Here is a 26,837-nt window from a genome sequence, read left to right on the forward strand (position 1 = left end):
GGCTGATTTCAAGGTTAGAGAGACAGAGTGAGAAATAAAACGTCTTTCAACACCTGCACCTCGATTTTGGCCATGCCCTTTGGGACCAGCATTTCAGGACGATGTCCACAAGGAATGTGGACTTCACCTGGAAGTGTAGTCTGATAGTTATTTGCTGCTTGTGAAAGAGGAAATGCCCCACTGATGTTCTTTTATTGCACAATCTCACTACTTTCAAGACAAGAAGAAAGAGGATTGATAATAATAAAAATTTCTAGCATTTATTGCACATACACTGTGTGCCTGGGATTGTGCCAAGCACTTAGATACTTTATATCCTTTCCTCCCTGCAATAATTTCTGCGCAGAAGATACTGCTATGTCTCCATTTTACAAATGAGGAAACTGAAGCTCTGAAGGTTATACAGCTTCTTCAAGGACAAACACATAAATAGCAAGAGGTAGCCTGGGACTGGAATCCAGTTTGTATAATGCCAGAGCTGGTGTTCTGAGCCACCATGCCACACTTCATATCTTTCCTGTAGGATCCTCTAGTTTTCTTTCCTTCTTTGCCCATTTTCTAACCAGGACTGCAGACTTTCAATATTCTCCACTCCTTACCTGTCAGTCCATGGCAAGACCTCTCTTGCCTGTCAGTCCATGGCAAGACCCCAGGACTTTAATTATTAGGATGTTCTTACTAGACTCTCAAAGAATCAGCCACAGGATGATGAAATTATCATGCTAAGCACTTTCTCTCTCTCTTTTTTTTTTTTTTTTGAGACAGAGTCTCACTGTGTTGCCCAGGCTGGAGTGCAGTGGCACAGTCTTGGCTCACTGCAACCTCCACCTCCTGGGTTCAAGTGATTCTCATGCCTCAGCCTCTGGAGTAGCTGGGATTACAGGCATGTGCCACCACACCCAGCTAATTTTTGTATTTTTAGTAGAGGCGGGGTTTCGCCATGTTGGCCAGGCTGGTCTCGAACTCTTGACCTCTCCAAGGTGATCTGCCTGCCTTGGCCTCCCAAAGTGCTGGGATTACAAGTGTGAGACACTGTGCCCGGCCTAAGCTAAGCACTCTCTTAGAGGCTGCTGTGCAAACTCCTGCTCCATCTGCTCTGAGTTTGCATCTCATAAATGGAGTGTAGCCTTAGTAGTTCTGTCTGGTGTGGCTTTACCTCTGGTTGCTTGGGACTTGAGCCATTTCTTCCAGCCAACTCCGTGGCCACCAGGAAGAAGACCAATAAAGAATAGAAACTTCAACTCCAAGATATATTTGGAACTTACTTCTTGGCTTATCTGACAGAAGGAGCCCCACAAATTCCCCTCTGACTCAGCTTGGGTTTATGCTTTCCCTCTGGGCCCTAAGTCCCTGCATGCTCTGCTCCTATCCCTAGGCCTGGCAGAGGAAGGGTTTTTCTTCTCAAGCCCAGGAGATTCCCCTCCTGGGCTCAGGCCATTCTGCACTAACTCTGCCCTTTCTAATTGTCTCCTTCTGGAGCGGGAGAGTCTCCAACATTCCAGGTTCCCTGAAAGCCCTACCCTCTCTCCTGAACCCTTTTTCTGCATCCACCAGTCCTTCTTAAGGCTGTATTCTCTAATCATTGATAGTTTTTTAGTTGATTCTCTTACAGTTGTCAAATAGCAGTTATATCACTTGCAGGTACTAAAATTTTCGCCTCTTCTTTTCCAATTTTTAAGCCTCTAATTTTAAAATTTTGCTTAAATTGAGTACAAGATACTTTACAAAACCAAAAATCTAAAACATGTAATTTACAACAAGAGAATAAAACCTTTTTTTTTTGTTTTTGAGATGGAGTCTTGCTCTGTCTCCAGCCAGGCTAGAGTGCAGTGGCACAATCTCGGCTCACTGCAATCTCCGCCTCCCGGGTTCAAGGGATTCCCCCGGCTCAGCCACCCAAGTAGCTGAGACTACAGACGTGCACCACCATGCCTGGCTAATTTTTTTTTGTATTTTAGTAGAGACAGGGTTTCACCATGTTGGCCAGGATGGTCTTGATCTCTTGACCTCGTGATCCGCCCGCCTTGGCCTCCCAAAGTGCTGGGATTACAGGCATGAGTCATCGCACCCGGCCAAGAAAGCCATTTTTACAGCAGAGGTTACTACATTGTTTTATGGTTATAATTATATGCTGTAGTTATAATCTTTCAAGTGGCTGTCTCGATTATTAAATTATGATCTTCCTGGAGGGCAGGAACTGTTATTCACCTTCATGTCCCCAGCACTTAGCTTTGTAATCTTGACAAATGGTTTTCTGAAAAATTAAAGAAAAACCAATAATGCCACTATAAATAGGTTAAAATAACTATCATTTATACGGTGTCTGCTAATGTCGTCTGGTATGAATGTCAACAAGCCTTATTTCTCAAATTTTTTGAGACCATGGAACATAATATGGTTTTTAGGTCACAACACATTCTCACTTCATCCTAGATCTCAGTTCTGCCAACAAAGTATCTGCTTTAGATACCCAACAACTTTTCTCTATCACCAAACACCATCTGCCCAAGACCACATGAACTGTGCTGGGCAGCTCCAGTGCGCTGGACAACCCAGAAAGTTGAAGACTCCAACCTTCAGGTAGAGGGCAGAAGTAATGTGGATTTTTCTTTTTTTCTTTTTTTTGAGATGGAGTCTCGCTCTGTCACCCAGGCTGGAGTGCAGTGGTGCCATCTCGGCTCACTGCAAGTTCCGCCTCCCGGGTTCATGCCATTCTCCTGCCTCAGCCTCCCGAGTAGCTGGGACTACAGGCGCCCGCCACCATGCCCGGCTAATTTTTTGTATTTTTAGTAGAGACGGGGTTTCACCGTGTTAGCCAGGATGGTCTTGATCTCCTGACCTCGTGATCTGCCCACCTCAGCCTCCCAAAGTGCTGGGATTACAGGTGTGAGCCACCGCGCCCGGCCAGTAATGTGGATTTTTCTGAGTACAGCTTGACACAGCATTTTGTAGGGCATGAAAGGGGACTGAAATCATTTTGACCATATATCCTTTCCTCCCTGCAAGAATTTCTGTGCAGAAGACACTGCTATGTCTCCATTTTACAAATGAGGAAACTGAAGCTCTGAAGGTTATGCAGCTTCTTCAAGGACAAACACATAAATAATGAGAGGTAGCCTGGGACTGGAATCCAGTTTGTATGATGCCAAAGCTGGTGTTCTGAGCCACCATGCCAGAACACAGATGGGGCTGGGAGCAGTGGCTCATGTCTGTAATCCCAGAACTGTGTGAGGCCGAAGCAGGTGGATCACCTGAGGTCAGGAGTTTGAGACCAGCCTAGCCAACATGGTGAAACTCTGCCTCTACTAAAAATGCAAAAATCAGCCGAGTGTGGTAGCAGGCACCTGTAATCCTAGCTACTCGAGAGGCTGAGGCAGGACAATTGCTTGAACCCGGGAGGTGGAGGGTGGAGGTTGCAGTGAACTGAGACTGCGCCACTGTACTCCAGTCTGGGCAATGGAACAAGACTCCATCTCAAAAAACAAACGAACAAACAAACAAAAAAAACCCACAGATGGTAACTGACCTCAGCCACAACTTGAGGCTACTTCCACTGCCTCCAAGTCTCCAAGTCAAGTGTGCTTTCCATTAGGAATTCTTTTTTCTGAGCAGATCTCAACTGTTGGTTTAAAATAGTCAGTAAACCATGCCATAAGCATACGTGCTATCATCTCAGCCTTGTTTTTCCATTTATAGAACAAATGCAGAGTAGATTTTGCATAATTCTTAAGGGCCTTTAGATTTTCGAAATGGTAAATGAGTGCTGGGCTTCAACTCCAAGTCACTGGCTGTATTATCTCCTAATAAGAGAGTTAGCCTGTCCTTTGAAGTTTGAAGCCAGGCACTGACTTCTCTCTAGCTATTAAAATCCTGGATGTCATCTTCATCCAATAGAAGGCTGTTTTATCTACACTGAAAACCTCTTGTTTAGAGTAGCCACCATCATCAATGATCTTAGCTAGATCTTCTGGATAATTTGCTGCACCTTCTAAATGTGTTAGCACTTGCTACTTCACCTTGCACTTTTAAGTTACAGAGATGGCTTTTTTTTCCTTAAACCTCATGCATCAACCTCTGCTAGCTTAAAATTTTTCTCCTGAAGCTTCCTCACCTCCCTCAGTTTTCACAGAATTAAAAAGAGTTAGGGTCTTGCTCTGGATGAGGCTTTGGCTTGAAGAAATGTTGTAGTTGGTTTGATCTTCTATCCAGACCACTCAAACTTTTTCCATATCAGCAATAAGGCTATTTCGCTTTCTTATTATGCATGTGTTCACCAGAGTAGAACATTTCATTTCCGTCAACAACTTTTCCTTTGCATTCCCCACTTGGCTGTTTAGTGCAAAAGGTCCAGCTTTCTGCCCACCTCAGCTATAAATATGTCTTACTCACTAAACTTAATCATTTCTAGCTTTTGCTGTAAAGTGGGAGACGTGCAAATCTCCCTTTCACTTAAGCACTTAGAGGCCATTGTAGGGTTATTAATTGGTCTAATTTCAATATTGTTGTGTCTCAGAGAATAGGAAGGCCTCATCAGAGGAAGAGAGATGCGGAACAGCCAGTCATTAGAGCAGTCAGAACATATACAGCATTTACCAATTAAATTTACCGTCTTGTATGAGCATGGCTCATGGCACCCCAAAACGATTGCAATAGTAACATCAAAGATCGCTGATCATAGATCACCACAAAAGATATAATGATAAGGAAAAAGTTTGAAAAATTGCAAGAATTAACAAAATGTGACACAGAGACATGAAGTGAGCATATGCTGTTGGAAAAATGGAGCTGATAGACTTGCTGGACACAGGGTTGCCACAGACACTCAATTTGTAAAAACACAGTATCTGCTAAGTGCAATAAAACAAGATATACTTGTATTCACGATCTCTGTCTTCTATCCATGATAGAGTCCCCTAACCCTGTGGCTTTCCTGAGTGGTATGACCCAGACACTTGTCCCTCAGGGGACTGAGCTCCTGATCACCTTGCCCTCCTCAGGCTCTGGCTGCTGCAAGGGAGTACCAAGTAGATCACCTGGGGTCAGAAATATTCTTTCCTTTCCCCATTTTATAACAACAGGGCTACCTCCTCCAGAAGATTAAAACTAGTTACCTCTTCAGGCCTGCTGATTTCTTGGCAGGAAGGACCTAAAGTAACAGGGCAACAGACGATGCTTCAAATAGAATGGTACTCTCACTGTATACCCTGGTGGAACATCCTCTTCCCAGGAGTGGAGATCTCTAAACTCACAGGGCCCAGACTTGCAGGGACAGGATGCAAACATTCTCCAAGTGGGTCCCTGGCAGTGTGGGTAAGCAGGGCCACTCCTGCTCCTACCGCTTGGTTCTCAAAACCGTGTGTTCTACCTATTTGGGACACCACACCATATGATGATGTTGCTTTAGGATATACTCTGTAAGGGTCGGGCCTGGTGGCTCACACCTGTAATCCCAGCACTTTGGGAGGCTGAGGCAGGTGGATCACTTGAGGTCAGGAGTTTGAGACCAGCCTGGCCAACATGGCAAAACCCCGTCTCTACTGAAAATACAAAAAATAGCTGGGCGTGATGGCGGGCACATACAATCCCAGCTACTTGGGAGGCTGAGACAAGAGAATCACTTGAACTCCGTGGGCGGAGGGTGCAGTGAGCAGAGATCATGCCACTTCACTCCAGCCTGGGTGAAAACGTGAAACTCCATCTCAAAAAAAAAAAAAAAAAAAGGATATACATTATAAAGTATCACCTTCAAGCTGGCCTCTCATTTGCACCTCTACAAGCCATTCTGCTGCTCTATGTGGTGCAGTGTTGTTAGCGATGGAAAAGATCTGAGTTACCACGAATTACTGGCAGTGAATCCATAGGGTCCACAGCAACTTAAGTCTGTGCCTCTTCAGAAGAAAGAATTTGACTGAGGGGCATAAAGCAGAAAAAAATACCCAGGCAAGTTTCAGAGCAGGAGTGGAAGTTTATTTAAAAGTCTTTGGAACAGGAGAGAATGGAAAATTCTCTTGAAAGAGACTCAGCCGGACACCTGAATGTCCAAGAAAGAAAAGGGTGCAAAAGAAGACAGAAAAAAGGGGGTCTTTAACCTTGATCCCAGGACTTACAGGCTCACCTCTTTCCCATAACTCTTCCCTTAGGGTGGGCTTTCCTCATATGTGGTACTTTCCTTACCCTTTGGAATTGAGCAGGCACTGTGTGTATAGGGAGTTATATGCATGCCCATCTGAGGCTTTCTTCCCTTTTCCAGTGGAGTGTACCTGGAAGATCATACGTCCACATTTTTGTCTCTTAACACGCATGCCCAGGAAGTTGCTTATCCCTAGGGCCTGCATTCAATTAACATTTTGATGTTAAGAGGTGTGGACCGTCAGGAATTGGCCTCTCCCTGGTGCTTCCAAATTATCATTTTTAGAGAGGCAATGCGATAATTGCTGAGCCATCACTCAACATTTCTAGTGGGTGCGGGGAGAGCACTCTCCTGCCCCGCTCATGCCTATCTACCTGTAACAGTATGGATAGAGCCATTGAGTCCTATGACCATGTACTCACTGTCACATCTTATGGGTTGTAAAGTGTGTCCTTTATTCCAGTTTGATCTTTTGTAGGATCTCCTCCCAGTGGATCAAACACTCTGTAAACCTCGGACAGTGGTGCTGTCTGGGGCCTTGTAAACAGGAAAGACGGAGGCAAAGCTAAAATATTTGTTGATTCCAGTCAAGATGAATTGTCCCTCTTATCAGAGCTTTCTTTATTGCTTTGGTAAATGAAATGTCCTCTGGACCCTACCATGGAAAATTGTCCTCTGGTGGGTTTTCCATCCTTACATAACAAATCCACTCAAACATACCCCTTTCTATGAGATATTTGATTCCTTTTTCCACTGTTTGCAACAGAAGTTCTGATATTTACTTCTCATTTAATGTGGGCATCACTTTCTCCAAATGTGTAAAGAGCCATCCCAGCAGTGTACTGGGGTCCATGCCAGGATATTAAATCCTATATCCCAGAAAAATGGTCCCATATCAATCAACTCTCCCTCAGCCTCTTCCTCTTGATCCTATAACCTCAGAATCTAAACCCATACATCATCTTATTACCAGTGGAGGGTCTTGACTACTAGTTGTCCAGGTCCTTGGTGTGTTTTTTGTTTGTTTTTTTTGAGACATTCTTGCTCTATCGCCCAGGCTGGAGTGCAATGGCACAATCTTGGCTCACTGCAACCTCCACCTTCCGAGTTCAAGCGATTCTCCTGCCTCAGCCTTCTGAGTAGCTGGGATTACAGGTGCCCGCCACCACCCCCAGCTAATGTTTGTAATTTTAGTAGAGACGGGGTTTCACCATTTTGGTCAAGCTGGTCTCGAACTCCTGACCTCAGGTGATCCTCCCGTCTTGACCCCCCCAAAGTGCTGGGATTACAGGTGTGAGCCACTGTGCCTGGCCCCTGACAGCTGGAATTTATTAAAGCAAGAAAACACTCCGCAGGGTGGGAGTGGTCTCAAGCAAGCAGCTCAAGGGCCCAGTTACAAAGTTTTCTGGGCTTTAAGTACCCCGTTTGAAGTTCTTATCGGATACCCCTTACCTGGATGAAGGATTGGGTCTGTGGCTAATTAAAGGCTGAGGTGGGCCGGGCGCAGTGGCTCACGCCTGTAATCCCAGCACTTTGGGAGGCTGAGGCGGACGGAACACGAGGTGAGGAGTTCGAGACCAGCCTGGCTGACATGGTAAAACCCTGTCTCTACTAAAAATACAAAAATTAGCCGGGCATGGTGGTGTGCTCCTGTAGTCTCAGCTATTCAGGAGGCTGAGGCAGAAGAATCGCTTGAACCCGGGAGGCGGAGGTTGCAGTGAGCCGAGATCGCACCCCTGTACTCCAGCCTGGGAGACAGAGTGAGACTCCGCCTCAAAAAACAAAACAAAACAAAAAGAAAGAAAGGCTGAGGTGAATTGGGGCCCTATGAAGATAAAAGGGACGGCCCGTGCTCGGCCTGCAGCTAATCCAAGGCACTGTCCCTTTCCATCTGGTATGTGGTGGAAGGGGGAGGGTTGCAGGGAGAGTAGCCTTTGATCCTTTGTTACTCGGAGTAGGGAGATGTAGTTTTTCCCGTTTGGTTTAGCCTTAGGAAGTTTGTGTTAATTGGCTTCAGGTTGCCTGCCTTCAGTCCCACTTGTTTTCCTTTTGATCCAGCTTTGGGAAGTCAGCATGAATTGGCCTTAGATTTCCTGCTCCCAGAACTTGGTGTTTTCTCTTTTAGGAAGTCAGCACAAATTGGCCTTAAGTTCGCTGTCTCTAGGCCCTATTCTCCTGCCTCAATCTCTTTCAGCTCTGCTGGTGCAGACTGACCAGGTCCTGCAGCTCCTGTAGTCCTTTTCCTCCTTTAGCTGCTGAGAATTTAATCTTTTTTCTTTGGAACCTTGTACTTTTGTGCTTCAGTGCCTAGCCTGATCTTCAACCTTGTCTGTTCTCCAGCTATAGATGAGAGTCTCCTTGTACTGACAAGAAAGCCCTCTGACTTTTATGTTTAGCTGATTTAATTGCTGGGTTAATCACCCTCAGCCTTTCCTTGTCTTTCTCCAGAACATCTTTTGCCCTCAGCAACAGTCATCTGATCCTACTGTCCTTATAATTGCTAATTTCCTCATGCTTCTCAAATACTGGTTCCATTGCCCCAGCCAGTGCATTCCCTTCCAAAGGTATGCCCTTCCAGAAAGTGTTAGCAATCATTCTGCTACTGTGTGCAAGGCTTTATCCATGCTCTACCAACCACCCGTGATGGGTCTGTCAACCAGAAAGTATCTGAGGCAGGGCTCCATCAATTTAGAAGTTTATTTTGCCAAGGTTAAGGACATGCCCAGAAGAAAGAAACACAGAATCACAGAAGTAATCTGTGGTCTGTGACTTTCTCTAAAGATGAATTTGAGGTCTTCAATATCCAAAGAGGGAAAGTGGGCTGGAGGGGAAAGAAGGAGGGTATGGTAGTCTACATGTTGCAAGGGAAAAGGAGTAGGTAGGGGGATAGTCAATGATGTATTCATATTGTGCTCAGTAAATCGGCACTTTATATAAGGTGAACATAGAATGGAGGTATTTAGCCTTTTATTTAAATATCTCCTGTGGAGATATTTAGCCTTGTATTTGTAGTTATTTGCTTAGGAACAAAAGGAAAGGCAGTTTCTTCCATAACTCAGCTTTCAGCTTAATGTTTTTTTCTTTTGGCATAGTGAATTGGGTCCCCAGATTTTCTTTTCCTTCTTTCCAGCCAGTTGGTGGGTGACCAGCTTCAGCGCCTGCTTTCTTGCACCACATGGGTCTCTGGAACTGGGATGACCCTGAAGAGTTGTCCCCATGTTGGGGACATTGACCAGTCATTGAATGGAGCCTGCCCTGGGAGGGGGAACGAACCTTGGATAAAGTTGCTATCTTCATAGGAGGATAACTACAAGAAAAAGGGCTTAGTGGCCGGGTGCAGTGGCTCACGCCTGTAATCCCAGCATTTTGGGAGGCTGAAGCAGGCGGATCATGAGGTCAGGAGCTCGAGACCAGCCTGGCCAACATAGTGAAGCCCCATTTCTACTAAAAAAAAAAAAAAAATACAAAAATTAGCCGGGCTGTAGCAGGACAAGCCACAGACAAAAGCCTTCAGACACCAAGTTAAAGAAGGAAGGGCTTTATTTGGCTGGGAGCTTCAGCAAGACTCACGTCTCCAACAACCAAGCTCCCCAAGTGAGCAATTCCTGTCCCTTTTAAGGGCTCACAACTCTAAGGGGATCCACGTGAGAGGGTCGTGATCGATTGAGCAAGCAGGGGGTACGTGAATGGGGGCTGCATGTTCTGGTAATTAGAACGGAACAGAACAGGACAAGGACTTTCAGTGCTTTTCTATACAATGTCTGTAATCTATAGATAACATAACCGATTAGGTCAGGGGTTGATCTTTAACTACAGGCCCAGGGTGTGGCGCCGGGCTGTCTGCCTGTGGATTTCATTTCTGCCTTTTAGTTTTTACTTCTTTCTTGGAGGCAGAAATTGGGCTTAAGACAATATGAGGGGTGGTCTCCTCCCTTAGGCATGGTGGCACACGCCTATAATCTCAGCTACTTAGGAGGCTGAGGCAGGAGAATCACTTGAACCCAGGAGGCAGAGGATGCAGTGAGCTGAGATCACATCACTGCACTCCAGCCTGGGCAAAAGAGCAAGACTCTGTCAAAAAAAAACAAAAACAAAAAACCCACCAATTGTTCAGGAAAAAATGGTAACACCTTTTGTGTTCCTTTGTTCGGAGACTTAGTAGCTTGTTCTGGGGAAGTTTCCCCACTTGATGACCCAGACCTCCCACCAAACAAATAAAAATCTGGGAGTGGCTTGGTTAATGAAACTACTGATAAGGGGTCAATTGGCCTCTTACCTTCCTTGTAAGCTACCCAACCCAGACCAAAAATAGGCTAGTGTGGGTGTGGACTCCAGGCTGTCCCACAGCAGAACAGGCAGGGAAGCTTGTGTAACCCCAACAAATAAATCAAGTACTGTGTGCTTCTGCTTTGAGGCCTGTTGCCATGTGGAACCCACGCTAATCAGACACACGAATCTACCTCCCAAGACCTTGAAAGATAATTTATGTCTTTAGGAAGCCTGGTGAAAAGGAAGTTTTATCACATTTAATAAAAAAAATTATACTTTAAAAAATCCTACTTGGACAGCTCATTTCTGAGTTCCCTCCATCCAAGCTGCTGCTCTCTACATCTGTCTTATCTACTGCTGGCAAACCCTAAAAGCCCCTTTCATCTACCTTCTGAATGTATTCTTTTCCTTTACAAGTATATACGCAGAAAATTTTTGTAAGTTAAATTTGTCTTTCTCTGCACTTTTCAATTCTCCCTCCCTCATAGTAAACATCACACAAAGGGCAAACACAGACTCCTTAATAGAGTGGAGTGTGGGGGGAGGGTGAAGTTTGATCCTGTCACACTTGGATTGGTAAATATATTTTTAATGCTATATTTGACTGTGGCACACTTCACCAGGTGAGAACCCAATAATAAATTAAAATGTTTGAATTGTCCCTTCTTTGCAGCTGCCATCTCATTCTTATGATCACCCACCCCATTCTCGGTCTACTCATTGCCTATTAAAGTGTTTCCATGGTGCTTTGTCTGCAATAGACCTGGCTGCTTTCCACTCTTCCTTTCTTTTCTTTTTTCTTTTCTCTTTTTTTTTTTTTGAGACAGAGTTTCGCTCTGTTGCCCAGGCTAGAGTGCAGTGGCGCTATCTCGGCTCACGGCAACCTCTGCCTCCTGGGTTCAAGTGATTCTTCTGCCTCAGCCTCCCAAGTAGCTGGGCATACAGGCATGTGCCACCATGCCTGGCTAATTTTGTATTTTTAGTAGAGATGGGGTTTCTCCGTGTTGGTCAGGCTGGTCGTGAACTCCTGACCTCAGGTGATCTACCTGCCTCGGCCTCCCATAGTGCTGGCATTACAGGTGTGAGCCACCGCACCAGGCCCCACTCCTCCTTTCAAAGAAGCCTTGCTGACCTGCCCTATAAAGGAGAACACATGAATGTGAGGTGCAGGCTTACACAAATACATAAATATAATTTTGCATATCATTTCAGGGAGTTCATGGACCACTGGATAAGCTCCAGTTAAAGACCACTTATTTAGTCTTCTTGCCTAACAAGCTCTCAGTTCCTGAAATTCTGATGCCAAGATTTTATTTATTTTTATTTTTTGAGACAGAATCTCGCTCTGTCTCCCAGGCTGGAGTGCGATGGCGCGATCTCAGCTCACTGCAACCTCCGCCTCCCAGGTTCAAGTGATCCTCCCGCCTCAGCCTCCCAAATAGCTGGGATTACAAGCGTGCACCACCACTCCTGGCTAATTTTTGTATTTTTTAGTAGAGACAGGATTTCACCATGTTGGCCAGGCTGGTCTCAAACTCCTGACCTCAGTGATCCGCCCACTTTGGCCTCCCAAAGTGCTAGGATAACAGGCCTGAGTGACTGTACCTGATCTTTGATGCCAAATTTTAGCTAACCTAATACACACTTAGATGCCTGCAATAAGATGCAAAATCATTTTTTTTTCTGTATTGGCAAGTGAATAGTCTTTATAAATTGCATAAAGCATGTGTAGATTGTGTACTAGAGAAGCCAACATTTTTATTCATTCATTTGTTCATTTGTTGATTACTCATTCATTTTACAAATATTTGTTTAGGCATTACTATTTTGGAGTAATACATTTATGTAAAATCAACCTCCAACTTTAAAAATCAGACCAGTTAATGGGAAGAACCAATATGTAAATAGACAGTTAACAATAGTGTGCTATGGCTGAGGGTGCTGAGGGAGCCTTGGAGAAAGTGAAGGGTGAGGGGAGGGTGGCGTGGAGAGGGCACCTAATTCAGCCTGGGAGTTGGGTATGGGCTGAGAGTGATTTCAGGCGGAGCTTCTGGGAGAAGGTGACACATAAACTGTATCTTGGGGGAGTTCTTAGAGTTCTCAGAAGGCAAGAGTGGGAGAAAGATAATCTCTCTAGATGGATCAATACTTTCAAAGAGCCAGAGTCAGAAAAGAGCATGGTGCATTGGAAAACTTGTCATTGGTTTGCTTCGGCTGGAATGGAGTGTGGATATGGAGACATGGCAGGAGCTGGAGCAAGGGCCACTTCACACAGGGTGTGAAATGCTAGTTGGAGGAACTTACTCTTTATCTCAATGGGGTGTGGAGCCTCTGAAAGCTATTTAGCAAGGCATGATGTAATCAGATTTGCATGCAGAATGGCAAGGTACAGTGGTAATCACACCCATACATGGGGATTGTTTCTATATACGTTGTATTTAAAACTGGAAAATAATAAAGAATTAAAATTGTGAATGACTTGCTTTACATAAATTAAAATAGGTACCAGGCTATGCCTTTAATAACAGCACTCTCAGCTACCTGTTTTTTGCTTTTTTTTTTTTTGAGACGGAGTTTCGCCCTTGTTGCCCAGGCTGGAGTGCAATGGTGTGATCTCAGCTCACCACAACCTCTGCCTCCCGGGTTCAAGAGATTCTCCTGCCTCAGCCTCCTGAGTAGCTGGGATTACAGGCATGTGCCACCATGCCCGGCTAATTTTTTGTATTTTTAGTAGAGACGGGGTTTCTCCATGTTGGTCAGGCTGATCTCAAACTCCCCACCTCACGTGATCCACCTGCCTCGGCCTCCCAAAATGCTGGGATTACAGGCATGAGCCACCATGCCCGTCCTGCTACTTGCTTTTAAATATTATTTTGAATGGTGTTAATGCCAGAGCTGAGGAAATAGCACATATAACTCACATTCCAGCTTGTCTTTGTCCTAGCTCTTAGAGAAGAACGCTATATAACCTCTAATACCAATGGAGATTTAAGTATTGTAGTGCTTCTTTATAACTTTATATTTATTTCCAATTTATCTTTATGTTTTCCAATAATTACATTTTTAGTTTAAAAAAGAGAAAAAATAGAAAGGAAGAAAACATTCATAGGACAGGTATATCATTAAGTGAATATTTTACTTACTCACATGTTTATAAAATGTTTTTATGAATATAATACCCCTTCCCTGAGTAGTCTGTGGTCTATGCTTTACTTTCCAGCTAAATTTTAGGAAACTGCATCAGAATTTAAGTCAAGGGAGTGAGTAATGCATGGTGAATATTATCTGTTATTGGTATATTGCAACAGGAAAAAAAAATAAAACCTAACTGACTGAGTGACTCAATGTCTATTTCAATCTCCTTTGAGTATGCCTTCCCATACTGCAGAATTGGGAAGCCAAAAACTACATTTTCCAAATTCCCCAGGTAGAGTTTCTAAGGATGTGACTTAGGTTGTGACAATTAGACACACTGACATAAGACTCCAAATTCAGAGTTGAATGAGTTGTTGGGGCACAAGGCGGGCAGGGCAGGAAGCATCTATTCTGCTTGTGCGGAGCACAGCAACCCTAGGTTGTGAGTTTGCTAGCTCAGCTGACACTCCCTAACTGTGGCAGAAGCAGCAACTCCCCTGGCAACTCAGTTCTGAGTGTGACTTTGTTCCTAGTAATTCAGCCTCAAATCCACTTCTTCAGCTCTCCCACTGATTCTGTAAGCCAATTAATACCTTGCAATAATCTTTTTGGCTTAAACTAGCTAGGGAAGGCTATGCTTTCTGCACCTGAACCATGACCAATGTAGTCAGCGAAACCTGAGCCTTTGAGAAAAAGCTGAGGAGAAGCCAGAAAAGTAGCAGTAAAACCAGGACAGGCTGCTACCCTACAATCAAGACAGAAGAGAGTTTCAATAAGCAATGAAACACTGCAGAGAGGCCAAGACAGACACAAATATGAAGTAAAAACGATTCAGCCAGGAGGTCAAAGATGATGTGGAGAGGAGCCATTTCATGGAGTGGCAGGGGAGGAAGCCATATTGCAGGTGGTTGAGGAGAGTCTTCCATTTTATTTGGACTTAATTTTTTTGAGACAGGTCTCGCTCTGTGGCCCAGGCTGGAGTGCAGTGGCGTGATCTCGGTTCATTGCAACCTCCACCTCCCGGGTTCAAGCAATTCTCTGCCTCAGCCTCCTGAGTAGTTGGGATTACAGGCACACACCACCACGCCCGGCTAATTTTTGTATGTTTAGTAGAGATGGTGTTTCACCATGTTGGCCAGGCTGGTCTTGATCTCCTGACCTTGTGATCGATCCGCCTTAGCCTCCCAAAGTGCTGGGATTACAGGAGTGAGCCACCACGCCCCACGTGGACTCAATTTATGAAGTAAGAGTCAGGTGCTGACTACATGATGTGAGAGGTACAGGAAGGTTTTTACATTTCCTATTACTGTGCCTAGAAGCCTACATGGTGGCCCAATCAGGAGGTAGGAATTTTTCTTCTGTCGTCATCTATTAAAGGGGCTCTAGCCCCAACTCTGCCACTGGGAGTTCTGTGAAATAGTTCTCTGAAATTCCATTTTAAAAGAGAAAAAGTTCTTTAGAAAATGGGCATATGGCTAGGTGCAGCTGCTCACACCTGCAATTCCGGCACGTTGGGAGGCCAAGGTGGGAGAATTGCTTGAGCCCAGGAGTTTAAGACCAGCCTGGGCAACATAGCAAGACGCTATCTCTAAAAAAAAATACAAAAATTAGCCGGGTATGGTGATGTATACCTGTAGTCCCCACTACTCAGAAGGCTGAGGTGGGAGGATTGCTTGAGCTAAAGAGGTCGAGGCTGCAGTGAGCTAGGATTGAGCCACTGCACTCCAGCCTGGGCAATGGAGTGACACCCCGTCTCAAGAAAGAAAGAAAGAAAGAGAGAAAGAGAGAAAGAGAGAAAGAGAGAAAGAGAGAAAGAGAGAAAGAGAGAGAGAGAGAGAGAGAGAGAGAGAGAAGGAAGGAAGGAAGGAAGGAAGGAAGGAAGGAAGGAAGGAAGGAAGGAGAGAGAGAGAGAGAGAGAAAGAAGGAAGGAAGGAAGGAAGGAAGGAAGGAGAAAGAAAGAAAGAAAAAGAAAGAAAGAAAGAAAGAAAGAAAGAAAGAAAGAAAGAAAGAAAGAAAGAAAGAAAAGACAAAGAAAACAGGCATACTAATACCTGTCCTGCCTTCTGCACAGGCAGAATGGTGAAAGAGATAAGAGCACAGGATTTGGACTTGGTCAGACCCAGGCTTTAATCCTGATTTTGCCGCTAGTTAGCTGTGTGACCTTGGGCAAGTTATGTATACCTAGCTTTCTCCTCTGGAAATTAGGGATAAGAGTATCAGCTTCACAGTGATTATGACGATTAGTTGAGGTATGTAAGGCATTCAGCACAGTGACTGGCAGGTAGCAAGCTCTCAGAAGATGACAGTTAATTTCATAAGTGGTCCAAAATACCTTTTGGGAGATAATGCTCACGAGTGTTTTATTCACAGGGTTGCTGGCCAAATGAGAAAATGCACAGGAAAGCAAAATGTAACAGGCCTATCAGGATGAAAACACTGTGAGAAAGGTCACACATTAAACCACAAATGTTTTGGGTTCCTTGACAACTAGATTGTGCTACAGAGTTGGTAGGGTAGGGAGGAAGAGGAGAAGCTGAACTTCAACTGCTGCAGTTTTTCCTGGGGCTGGCCCTTGTTAGAATAATAGACACTCTACCATAGAGAGGCAGTTGATTCACCTATACCTGTTGGATAAAAAAGAAAACCATGTGGCTGGTGGAGCTGAGAAAGTGGAAAGAATAAAGGGAGCAGAAGATATATTGCTTGAAATCAGGCAAAAGTTCCATATATCAAAAGCCTCATTCTGGCTGACTTCATCACCAAACTCCCCTCCCAGAGGCCTCTGCCTGGGCTTTTGCAGAAAACATGTACAAACTCTATGCAAAGTAAGAATCCAAAATAGCTTATTTAGAAATAAACCACCTGCTTGTACAAACAGGAAGATCTGAAATCCCTGGAGTTGGGCAAGTGAGTTCCTTGCTTCCCTGCCTAGCCCAGCCTCCTACTGGACCCCCACTACCACAAAGGGATGGAATTACACTCCTTTCTCTCCAGCCTCTTTGCTTTGCTTTTTCCTTTTATTTTTAGTTGTCATGTAATAATTGTACAAATTGATGGGATATGGAGTGCTATTTCTTTTTCTTTTTTTTTTTGAGATGGAGTCTCGCTCTTTCACCCAGGCTGGAGTGCAGTGGTGCAATCTCAGCTCACTGCAACCTCCGCCTCCCGGGTTCAAGCGATTCTCCTGCCTCAGCCTCCTGAGTAGCTGTGACTACAGGCACGCATCACCATGCCCAGCTAATTTTTTGTATTTTTAGTAGAGACGGGGTTTCACAATGTTAGCCAGGTTGGTCTCAATCTCCTGACCTTGTGATCAGCCTGCCTCAGCCTCCCAAAGTGCTGGGATTACAGGCGTGAGCCACCGCACCCAGCTGGAGTGCTATTTTAATACATGCATACAATGAGTAATGATCAAATCAGGGTAATTAGCATATCATCACTTCAAACACTTACCATTTCTTTGTGTTGTGAACATTCAAAATCATCTTGTAGCTTTTTGAGAATATACAATAAATTATAATTAACCACATTCGCAAAGCACCAGAACTCTCACCCTCCTCCCCTCCCTCACCCACCCTTCCCAGCCTCTAATACTCACAATTCTACTCTCTACTTCCATGGGCTCAAAAAATTTATTTTATCTCCCACATGAGTGAGATCATGCGGTATTTGTCTTTCAGTGCTTGGTGTATTTCACTTAACATAAAGTCCTCCAGGCTCATCTATGCCATGAATGACAGGATTTTCTTCTTTTTTATTCCAACCCCTTTTCTTTGTTCCTTCTCATGGGAACACATCAATAAAGGCACCTACTGGTGGCCAAAGGGGGCTCTCTGATGCCACCACCCCATTCCCTATCCTACCCTTTATCCCATCCTTTATTCCTGTCAGAGACTAAACAGAGACAGGGGAATGAGTTTTCACTGTGGATTACTTAATTTTTTTAGGTCACAGTGTTCTAATCAGTAATCATCCATCTTTCTGTTACCTCATTCTGTGAGGCGAAGAATTTAAAGCCTGCTTGAATTCAAGGTCAGGCTGCCTTCTGCAGCTGGAGGCATCCCCAGCAGGCCAAGGCTTCACTCTCTCAGCTGGTGTCAGGGACCCTTAGGGAGTGGACAGAATAGCATGTGGAAAGAGGCAGTGTGACCAGCCTTGCCACCTGTTTCACAGGTGGCACTGCTGGCTGAGTCAGTCTGCTAAGGAGGACAGCCCTGGAACTGGTCAGAGAAGGCTTAGTAAATCTCTTCTGATTGCTAACCTCTGAGACCTCACAGCCTATAATTTCCCAAGACAGACCTGTTATTACAAACAGTCAACCTAGTAATCACTGCCCAAGCCCAGGTGTCCTGAAGAAGTAGGGTGGAAGCTTGCATTGAAAAAGGAAAATGATAAGGAGATATTTGCCCAGCAAAGATATTCTGTAGAACAGATAACATGGGCACATTGTACTGCCTTCCTCCATCTTCCCACAGCACCTACCAAAGTCCTGGCAAGCCATCAAATTAGGCTTATAGGTAGCTGCCCTTTCTGAAGGCTACATTCAAATTTTTCTAAAAGATAATTTGATTTCATTCAGTTCAACCCAGTGAGTTTATACATTTATTTTAGCATCTATTCTATGCTTGGTACTGTGAGGATGAGCCATGAATTAAAACATCAGGTCAGCGTATACTCGACACAGTTGTAGAAATGAGAACCTTTACTTTTTCACAGTGAAGACCGAGGAAGCTGAAAAGAATGCTTTTGGTTTTCTTCCCTCTACCCCAGACTCTCCCAAGGCCATACTTTTCTCTCTCTCTCTCACTCTGGGGGAAGAAATATTGAAATTTTTTATCTAAGGCTTTTTCCTAGAATTTGAACTGCATAGGGAACATTGCTTCATCATCAACATTTTCTTTCATTTTCAACCTCTTTCCACCTGCCCTAAAAACATGTTTGAATCTAACCCACCCCTACTGTTCTTTCTCTACCTTCATTTCTTCCTGGGATACAGTTTTTCATCTTTTGCTCATGCAATTAATTATTCATTCATTAATTTAACAAATATTTAGTGATGAACAGTATGAGTAAGGCCCTTTCCTACGCTGGAGACAAAAATGAATAAAGCCTTGTTCCTTTAATGAAGCAGTCCCTAACCTTTTTTGACACCAGGAACTGTGTGGCCTAAGTGAGTTACATATTCCCTCTGAGACTCAGTTTACCCTAAGATTCTGTTAACTGGGAATAACTATGTATTTGAGAGTTATTGTGAGGGTTAAATGATATATCGTGTGAAAAGCTCCTGTCACATGGTCAGTGCTAAACAAATATTAGTCACCTTTCCTTGCATGACACTATACATTCTTAGCTCTTTGCCCATTTCTCAGACTGCTTAACCTAGAATTTCTTTGCTGGATCTGTGTTATCCCTATCCCCCTGAATTGTAGGCATTACTTAATAGAAATTTGTTTTTGAGGGTTACCCAGGATCCCCTCACCAAAATTCCAGGGAAAGTTCAGGACTGTAGTTTGGAGACCCCGCCCCTTCCCACTTCCAGCACCATCCCTCATCCCCAGCCTGAGTGGTCTTGGGACAGCAGAAATGGGGGTGACATGTGACCCAGGTTTGGCCAATCAGAGCCTTGCATTCTCCTGAAAGAACAACGATTGGTTCAATGATGGGCACGACACTCCTCTAGACTTCTTTGCTTATATGAGCCGCGAATTCCTCTTTTTGCTTAAGCTCTTTGGATTGGGCTTTCTGACACTTAGAAGCAAAGGAGTTTGAACTGAGAGAGAAATAAGTTAACACTCACTCCTCATTCATTTAACAAATGCTTACTAAGCATCTTCCATTTACTAAACACTGTGCTAAGAAAGTGGCTAGACACCATCCCTATCTTCAAGAAGCTTATAGTTTCATAAGAGAAAAGTAAGTAGGTAATGACAATACAGTGCTATTGGAACTACAGAAAGGGGCTGTACCACACGCTCTTAAAGCCCATAGAGGGGACAATCTAAGTTGGTGTCATGGAAGGCTTTCCAGAGTGTATAATCTACATGGAGACCCAAAAGATACAAGGCCAGGCAATGATAAGGGGAGGGGTGAAGAATGTTTCATGCAGTGAGAAATGGTAAGCAAAGGCTTAGAGAAAATAGCACATGGCATTTTTGGAGACCTGTAAGAAGTGTAATAGTGTTCTAGGGAGAAGGTCAATCAAGAATCTAGAGAGGTAAGCAAGAGCTAAACCATGAAAGACTCTGTAAGCTTAAGGAGTTTCAGTGGCAATTTGAAAGCCTTTGAGCAGGCACGTAGGAGGAAATGGTCACCTACTGCTGCAAACACAAATGTGTCATCCATTCCCACAGCTGTAAATCTCCTCTACTTCTAGGTAGATTAGGTCCCAATCTATGTCTCGGGCCTTGTCTTGAGCTCCAGGTAGGCAACTCCATGAGGATTTCCTATGGGAACTTCAGATAAATCTCCATCTTACTCCCTTCTCTTCTTGTTCTGTTTAAGTCCTCAAATTCAATAATAGCATTGTCCTCTTTCCAGTCGCTGACTGGCTTTGGGGCCCTGAGTCATCTTTATTTCCTCCCTTCCCTACACGACACTCAATGGCTGCCAAGTCACGGCAATTATATATTCAGAATGTCTCTTCCATTTTTATGTGAACTGAAGGAATTATATTTTTAATTTCCCAGAAAGCTTTTTCATCTTTCTTCTTCTGGTAACTGAGCTGGGTATGTGACCCAGGCCTGGCTACTCATAGTGTATGCGGCAGATAGATGCTAGGGTGACCCCCACAGGATCCCCACTTCCTGGCGTTCATGCCTTCATGTGACCCTCTCCCCTTAAGTGTAGGTAGAAACTATAACTTCCTTTTATGCAATAGACTATGGCAAAGGTGAGACGATGTCACGTTCATAATTACATTACATTGTATGAGATTCATCTTGCTAGGAGACTTGCTCTGGAGACTTTAATTGCTGTTCTGATGAAATTCGTAGCCATGTGGGGAAAGCCCACCTGACAAGGAACTGTGGGCAGCTTCTAGGAGGTGAAAACAGCCTCAAGCCAACAGCCAGCAAGAATCCACAGACCTCAGTCCTACAGCTACAAGGAAACAAATTCTGTCAACAACCTCAGTGAGCTTAGAATAAGATATTTTGCAATTGAGCCTCCATGTAAAAACCCAGCACTGGCCAACCCCTTGATTTCAGCCTTGCAGAAAATCCAGGTAAGCTGTGCCAGGAGCTGTACTCCTGACCTATGGAAACTGTGCGATAAGAAATGCATCTTGGGTTGAAAAATTACCTATTGGTTACAATGTGCATTATTCAGGTGATGGGTACACTAAAAGCCCAGACTTCACCACTATTCAATATATGCATATAGGAAACCTGCACTTGTGCCCCCCAAAGATAGAAAAATAAAGATAATAAAAAATAAAAAAGAAACGCATCTTGTTTTAAGTCACTAAGTTAGTGATAAATTTTTATGCAGCAATAGGAAACAAGTACAATGTCCCATTCTCATTGCCTGGAAGATATGTTAGTTGCATACATACTGACTATTTTTCTGTATGTTCTTTCTGTTAGAATACTAATTATGTTTTAGATATTGGGAAACCATGTGCTTTGAGGGCACCTCTCCAACTCTAGCGGGTATAGGGTTAATTGGTCCAAGCCAGCCATATTTTATCCAGTTTGCCTCACCAACGACAGGCTATGCCAACATGTGTATCCTATTCCATAAAATTTAAGAGGATATTTCCTGGGACACTTTCCTCACCCTTAATATGGATGCAAGTCAAGGACTTGTTTCTTCCTGCCCTAGACTTTGCTACTTGATATGATTCTAGGATATGCAGGAGCCATCTTGCCCTTGAAGGGAAAGTTAAGAGAACAGCAGAGAAGTCTACCAGGGACCCTGATGTTATTGAGTCTATATATATATATATATATATATATATATATATTATTTTATTTTTTATTTTTTATTTTTTTTTTTGAGACAGAGTCTTGCTCTGTTGCCAGGCTGGAGTGCAGTGGTAGAATCTTGGCTTGCTGTAACCTCTGCCTCCTGGGTTCAAGCGATTCTCCTGCCTCAGCCTGCCGAGTAGCTGGAATTATAGGCACACACCACCACACCTGGCTAATTTTTGTATTTTTAGTAAAGGTGGGGTTTCACCATGTTGGCCAGGATGGTCTTGATCTCTTTTTTTTTTTTTTTCTTTTTTTTCAGTTGGAGTCTCCCTCTGTCACCCAGGCTGGAGTGCAGTGGCACAATCTTGGCTCACTGCTAGCTCTACCTCCTGGGTTCATGCCATTCTCCTGCCTCAGCGTCCTGAGTAAGTGGGACTACAGGCACCCGCCACCATGCCCAGCTAATTTTTTGTATTTTTAGTAGAGACAGGGTTTCACCATGTTAGCCAGGATGGTCTCGATCTCCTGACTTTGTGATCCGCCCACCTCGGCCTCCCAAAATGCTGGGATTACAGGCATGAGCCACTGCGCCTAGCCCAGTCTTGGTCTCTTGACTTCTTGATCCGCCCACCTTGGCCTCCCAAAGTGCTGGGATTGCAGGCACAAGCCACTGCGCCTAGCCTGAGTCACTATATGAACCTCATAACTTCTTGTAAGTAAAGTATTATATCATCCTCATTATTTAAGCCATTTTTAAATGGGTATCAGTAACTCTCAGCCAAAAGCACTCTAACTGAAACCTTGTAAAAGATTCAGAGCAAGGAATGGGCATGTCACCAAAGCAGGGCCTCTCGGAGCTGATTGATGTCTGGATTCTGGACAAAGTTCTTTAGGCTTGCTAAGTTGGAGAAGGAAGTGAATCCCAGACTAATGGGCACTGTCTTTACCACCACAATCACAGGGCCTCTGTGCAGAAATGAATGAGGCCAAACTTATGGAGAGAGGAAAGACATAGCAGTAATAAGTCGCCATGCTGTCACTGAAGCTTTGGTTTCCTGCAGCTCATTTTGTTTGGTTCTTTTAAATTACCTCACATTCTTTCCAGTTATGTCAACTAATAAATGCATTCTTTTGCTTACATGAGGTTGTGCTCTATTTCTATCAGTTGCACTGAAAGTAACCCAAGAATACACTTTCTTTTCTGCCCCTCTAGAGCCTGCAGCCCACTGACATAATTTATTGCCCACTAGTTTGTCTCTCTCACCCTTTAGTCTATTGTTTCTCTGTATATGGTTAGCCATTTCCCTCCTGAAAAGCCCTCAGGGCTCCTCATGGAAGGCAGCTAGAAACCAGAATTCCTCAGACTGACATTCACAATCTAGCCCCAGCCTACCTTTTCAACATTTTCTATTACAGTGTTTCTTAAACATTTCACTTTTGACTATCACTCACAATAGGAAATATTGTATATACAAGCATTTTAAACTTTTATTTTATTTTATTTCATTTGAGATGGAGTCTCACTCTGTCGCCCAGGCTGCGGTGCAGTGGCACGATGCATTTTAAACTTTTATATTCAATTGTTACAAAAATATTAAGAGCTCCTACCTTACCTTGAGATGCATCATAGTAATAAGGTTTTCTTTCTGTCTTTAATTTAATTTATTTATTTATGTATTTTGAGACAGTGTCTTGCTCTTTCACCCAGGCTGGAGTGCAGTGGTGTGATCTCGGCTCACTGCAACCTCCGCCTTCCGGGTTCAAGCGATTCTCCTGCCTCAGCCTTCCGAATAGCTGAGATTACAGGCGTGCACCATCATGCCCAGCTAATTTTTGTATTTTTAATAGAGACAGGGTTTCACTATGTTGGCAAGGCTGGTCTCGAACTCCTGACCTTAGGTGATCCACCTGCCTCGGCCTCCCGAAGTGCTGGGATTACTGCACCTGGCCTATTTCTGTCTTTAATTTTAAGAATCAGTTGTTTAGTGACATATTGAATATTTTAAGAAAAGTCTTTTTTTGTCATTTACATATATGAACAGGAAATGAAGTAAGTACCATTTTCAATATAAAAAAAAGTGTTTATACATTCAAAGTTTCCCCCAAGAAGAGCTCATTTTTTAAAATTTAATTCAAGGGAAGCCAGTAGAAAATGTTCTGTCAAGTTACCTAAAATATAGCAGATCTTTAGTCACTTGAAATAGAATTAAGTGAGTAAAAAGGAAGTTTGCATTAGTGTTGATATAACAAGTTTCAGTTGAAAGGAGTTGGCTTGCTGCACATTGATATTCTCAGCACTCCCAATCTCTGTTATGAACACATTCCTCTATCTTTCAGTAACATCTTGTATCCTTTTCTCATGGACCTTGCCAACCTCCAGCCACCATGTTGTGTTTCATATATTTCTTAACTTTTTATTTTGAGATACTTGTAGACTCACAATTGTAAGAAATGTTACAGAGAAATCTCCCATACCCTTCACCAGTTTCCCTCAATGTAACATCTTGCATAACTATAGTACAATATTACAACCAGGAAGTTGATGTTGATACAATACACTCATCTTGTTCAAATTTCACCAGTTTTACATGCACCCACTTGTGTGTGTGTGTGTGTGTACATTTAGTTCTACATAGTTTATCACAGGTGTAGAATTGTATGACCACCACCACAGTCGGATATGGAGAAGTTTCATCCTGGGGATTCCTCATGCTGCACTTTTAAAACCACAGCCACATCCTGCTCTTCCTCCTCCCCTAACCTTTGGCATCTACTAATCTAGGGGTCCCCAACCTCCGGCCATTTTCTGATACCAAGCTGCACAGCAGGAGGTGAGTGGCAGGTGAGCAAGCATTGCTGCCTGAGCTTCGCCTCCTGTCAGATCAGCCACCGCATTAGATTCTCATAGGAGTGGAACCCTATTGTGAACTGCACATGCTAGGGATCTAGGTTTCATGGTCCTCCTGAGAACCTAATGCCTGATGATCTGAGGTGGAACAGTTTCATCTCGAAACCATACCCCTACTCCCCATCTATGGAAAAATTGTCTCCCATGAAACTGGTCTCTGGTGTTAAAAAGTTTGGGGACCATTGGACTAATCTGTTCTCCATTTTTATAATTTTGCTATTTCAATGATATTGTGAAAATGGACCATTTAGTAAATAACCTTTTAATATTGCTTTTTTTTTTTTTTTTGGCTTAGCATAATTCCCTTGAGATTCATTCAAGTTGTTTCCTGTATCAATGATTCATTCTTTTATGTTGCTGAGTAGTACTCCATGACATGGATGTAACACAGTTTAACTGTTTCCCAGTTGAAGGACATTTGGGTTGTTTCCACTTTGGTGCTATTATAAATAAAGCTATTAAAAATTCATGTAGATAACAAAACTAAACAAATGCTGGTTACAGCCCACTAAATTGATTGCATGGCCAATGAATGGGCATGACCTGCATTTTTTTTTTTTTTTTTTTGAGACAGAGTCTCACTCTGTCACCCAGACTGGAGTGCAGTGGGACAATCTCAGCTCACTGCAACCTCCTCCTCCTGGGTTCAAGCAATTCTCATGCCTCAGTCTCCCAAGTAGCTGTGATTACAGGCGCCTGCCACCACACCCAGCTAATTTTTGTATTTTTAGTAGAGATGGGGTTTTGCCATGTTGGCCAGGCTGGTCTCAAACTCCTGACCTCAGGCGATCCGCCTGCCTCGGCCTTCCAAAGTGCTGGGATTATAGGCATGAGTCACCACACCCGGCCTATGACCCGCAATTTTTAAAAAATGTTTTCAGTTACTTGGCCTTAGTAACCTTGTTCTCAAGCCACACTAGAGGTCTTGCTTTCCTCATACATGGCCCTTAGGCTCCCTATTTCTGTACTCCTGTTAAGGCTGTGCTTTGTGCCAAAAATTCTCTCCCTGAAGCATCTTTGGCTATTGAAGTCTCACTTATTAATATAAGTTAGGAATGCTTTTGACTACAAACCGCAGAAAAAGTGGACAAAAATATTTGATATCATTTGGATATTTGTCCCTGCCCAAATCTCATGTTGAATTTTAATCCCCAATGCTGGAGGTGGGGCCTGGTGGGAGGTGTTTTGATTACGGGGGTGGATCCTTCATGGCTTGGTGCTCTCTTTGTGACAGTGAGTTCTCGTGAGATTTGGTTTTTTAAAGGTGTGTGGTACCTTCCCCCCACCACTCTCTCTCTTGCTCTGCCCTGTGACCTGCCTGCTCCCCCTTTGCCTTTCTGCCATGATTGTGAGCTTCCTGAGGCTTCCCTGGAAGCCAAGCAGATGCTAGCACCATGCTTCCAGCAAAGCCTGCAAAACCATGAGCCAATCAAACCTTTTTTCTTTATAAATTACCTAGTCTCAAGTATTTCTTTCTTTTCTTCTTTTTGAGACAGAGCCTTGCTCTGTTCCCCAGGCTGGAGTGCAGTGGTGCGATCTTAGCTCACTCCAACCTCCGCCTTCTGAGTTCAAGCAATTCTCCTGCCTCAGCCTGCTGAGTAACTGGGATTACAGGTGCCCGCCACCACAACCGGCTAATTTTTTTATTTTTAGTAGAGACAGGGTTTCGTCATGTTAGCCAGGCTGGTCTTGAACTCCTGACCTCAGGTGATCCGCCCACCTTGGCCTCCCAAATTGCTGGGATTACAGACGTGAGCCACCGTGCCCGGCTGTATTTCTTTATAGCATTGCAAGAACAACCTAATACAGGAAAGAAAGGAAAGACAGAAGAAAGGAAGAAAAGAAGAAAGGAAGAAAGAGGAAGGAAGGAAGGAAGGAGAAAGAGGGAGGGAGGGTGGGAAAAGAAGAGATTTTTCTTTTGCCATAACAAGTATTGCCTAGAGCAAGGGTTGACAACCTTTTCTATGTCCAGAGAGTAAATATTTTATACTTTGCAGACTAAGCGGCAAAATTGAAGATATTGTGTAGGCACTTATATAACAGAAAATAAAATCCTCCCTGTCCTATTTGCTTGAGGTGGGCATGCTTTGCATCCAGTTGCCTTCTGCTGCAGACAGTCTTGGAAGAAAGAGCTTATCAGCCCAAGGAGGGGCCTGGCCAGCCAGGTGTGTAATAAATATTGCCAACCCCCCATGGTCAGTTTCACTCTCCACCCCGGTAACATCCAGTGCCCTGTGCACCCTTCTCTACTCCTGGCAAGCCCAGCCACATCAATTTGGGCAGCTAACCAGAGACAAGGTGGCTTGCAGGGTCACCAACTCCTGGAGTGAGATTCCAGCACTCAGTGCCCAACAGCTGTCAACAATGGAGTCCCCAATGTGTTGGTGGCAATCAGCTGGGCCCTAGGCACTGCAATGCATACCTGCCTACTGGCCTGGGGGCAAGTGCTGGGAGCAGAAGGGAAAGTAGGGGCAGAGGATGCCTT

The 26,837-nt window shown here is 44.0% G+C and overlaps 7 annotated features.

Annotated features, from left to right (window-relative positions):
* Nucleotides 1–60: a silencer, noted in NCBI's record as "silent region_17282". NCBI's record gives its function as "represses an Ori minimal core promoter by ATAC-STARR-seq in GM12878 lymphoblastoid cells {active_cell/tissue: GM12878}" and the evidence as "EXISTENCE:reporter gene assay evidence [ECO:0000049][PMID:35858748]".
* Nucleotides 1,246–1,305: an enhancer, noted in NCBI's record as "active region_24674". NCBI's record gives its function as "activates an Ori minimal core promoter by ATAC-STARR-seq in GM12878 lymphoblastoid cells {active_cell/tissue: GM12878}" and the evidence as "EXISTENCE:reporter gene assay evidence [ECO:0000049][PMID:35858748]".
* Nucleotides 7,743–8,348: an enhancer, noted in NCBI's record as "OCT4-NANOG-H3K27ac-H3K4me1 hESC enhancer chr6:52190539-52191144 (GRCh37/hg19 assembly coordinates)". NCBI's record gives its function as "activates a minimal SCP1, AML or CMV promoter by ChIP-STARR-seq in naive and primed H9 embryonic stem cells {active_cell/tissue: H9 hESC(naive and primed)}" and the evidence as "EXISTENCE:reporter gene assay evidence [ECO:0000049][PMID:30033119]".
* Nucleotides 8,349–8,955: an enhancer, noted in NCBI's record as "OCT4-NANOG-H3K27ac-H3K4me1 hESC enhancer chr6:52191145-52191751 (GRCh37/hg19 assembly coordinates)". NCBI's record gives its function as "activates a minimal SCP1, AML or CMV promoter by ChIP-STARR-seq in naive H9 embryonic stem cells {active_cell/tissue: H9 hESC(naive)}" and the evidence as "EXISTENCE:reporter gene assay evidence [ECO:0000049][PMID:30033119]".
* Nucleotides 19,119–19,288: an enhancer, noted in NCBI's record as "experimental_92086 CRE fragment used in MPRA reporter constructs". NCBI's record gives its function as "activates a minimal promoter by MPRAs in K562 erythroleukemia cells, with activity observed for both the introgressed and non-introgressed 6:52202000 or rs473642 variant alleles {active_cell/tissue: K562}" and the evidence as "EXISTENCE:reporter gene assay evidence [ECO:0000049][PMID:34662402]".
* Nucleotide 19,204: a transcriptional cis regulatory region, noted in NCBI's record as "Neanderthal adaptively introgressed variant 6:52202000 (GRCh37/hg19 assembly coordinates) or rs473642 in the experimental_92086 CRE". NCBI's record gives its function as "modulates activity of the experimental_92086 enhancer by MPRAs in K562 erythroleukemia cells {active_cell/tissue: K562}" and the evidence as "EXISTENCE:reporter gene assay evidence [ECO:0000049][PMID:34662402]".
* Nucleotides 25,093–25,387: an enhancer, noted in NCBI's record as "tiled region #5108; K562 Activating DNase matched - State 8:EnhW". NCBI's record gives its function as "activates a minimal TATA promoter and a strong SV40 promoter by Sharpr-MPRA in K562 cells {active_cell/tissue: K562}" and the evidence as "EXISTENCE:reporter gene assay evidence [ECO:0000049][PMID:27701403]".

Source organism: Homo sapiens, chromosome 6 (genome assembly GCF_000001405.40).
Source record: "Homo sapiens chromosome 6, GRCh38.p14 Primary Assembly".
In the NCBI taxonomy this organism is placed as follows: Eukaryota; Metazoa; Chordata; class Mammalia; order Primates; family Hominidae; genus Homo; species Homo sapiens.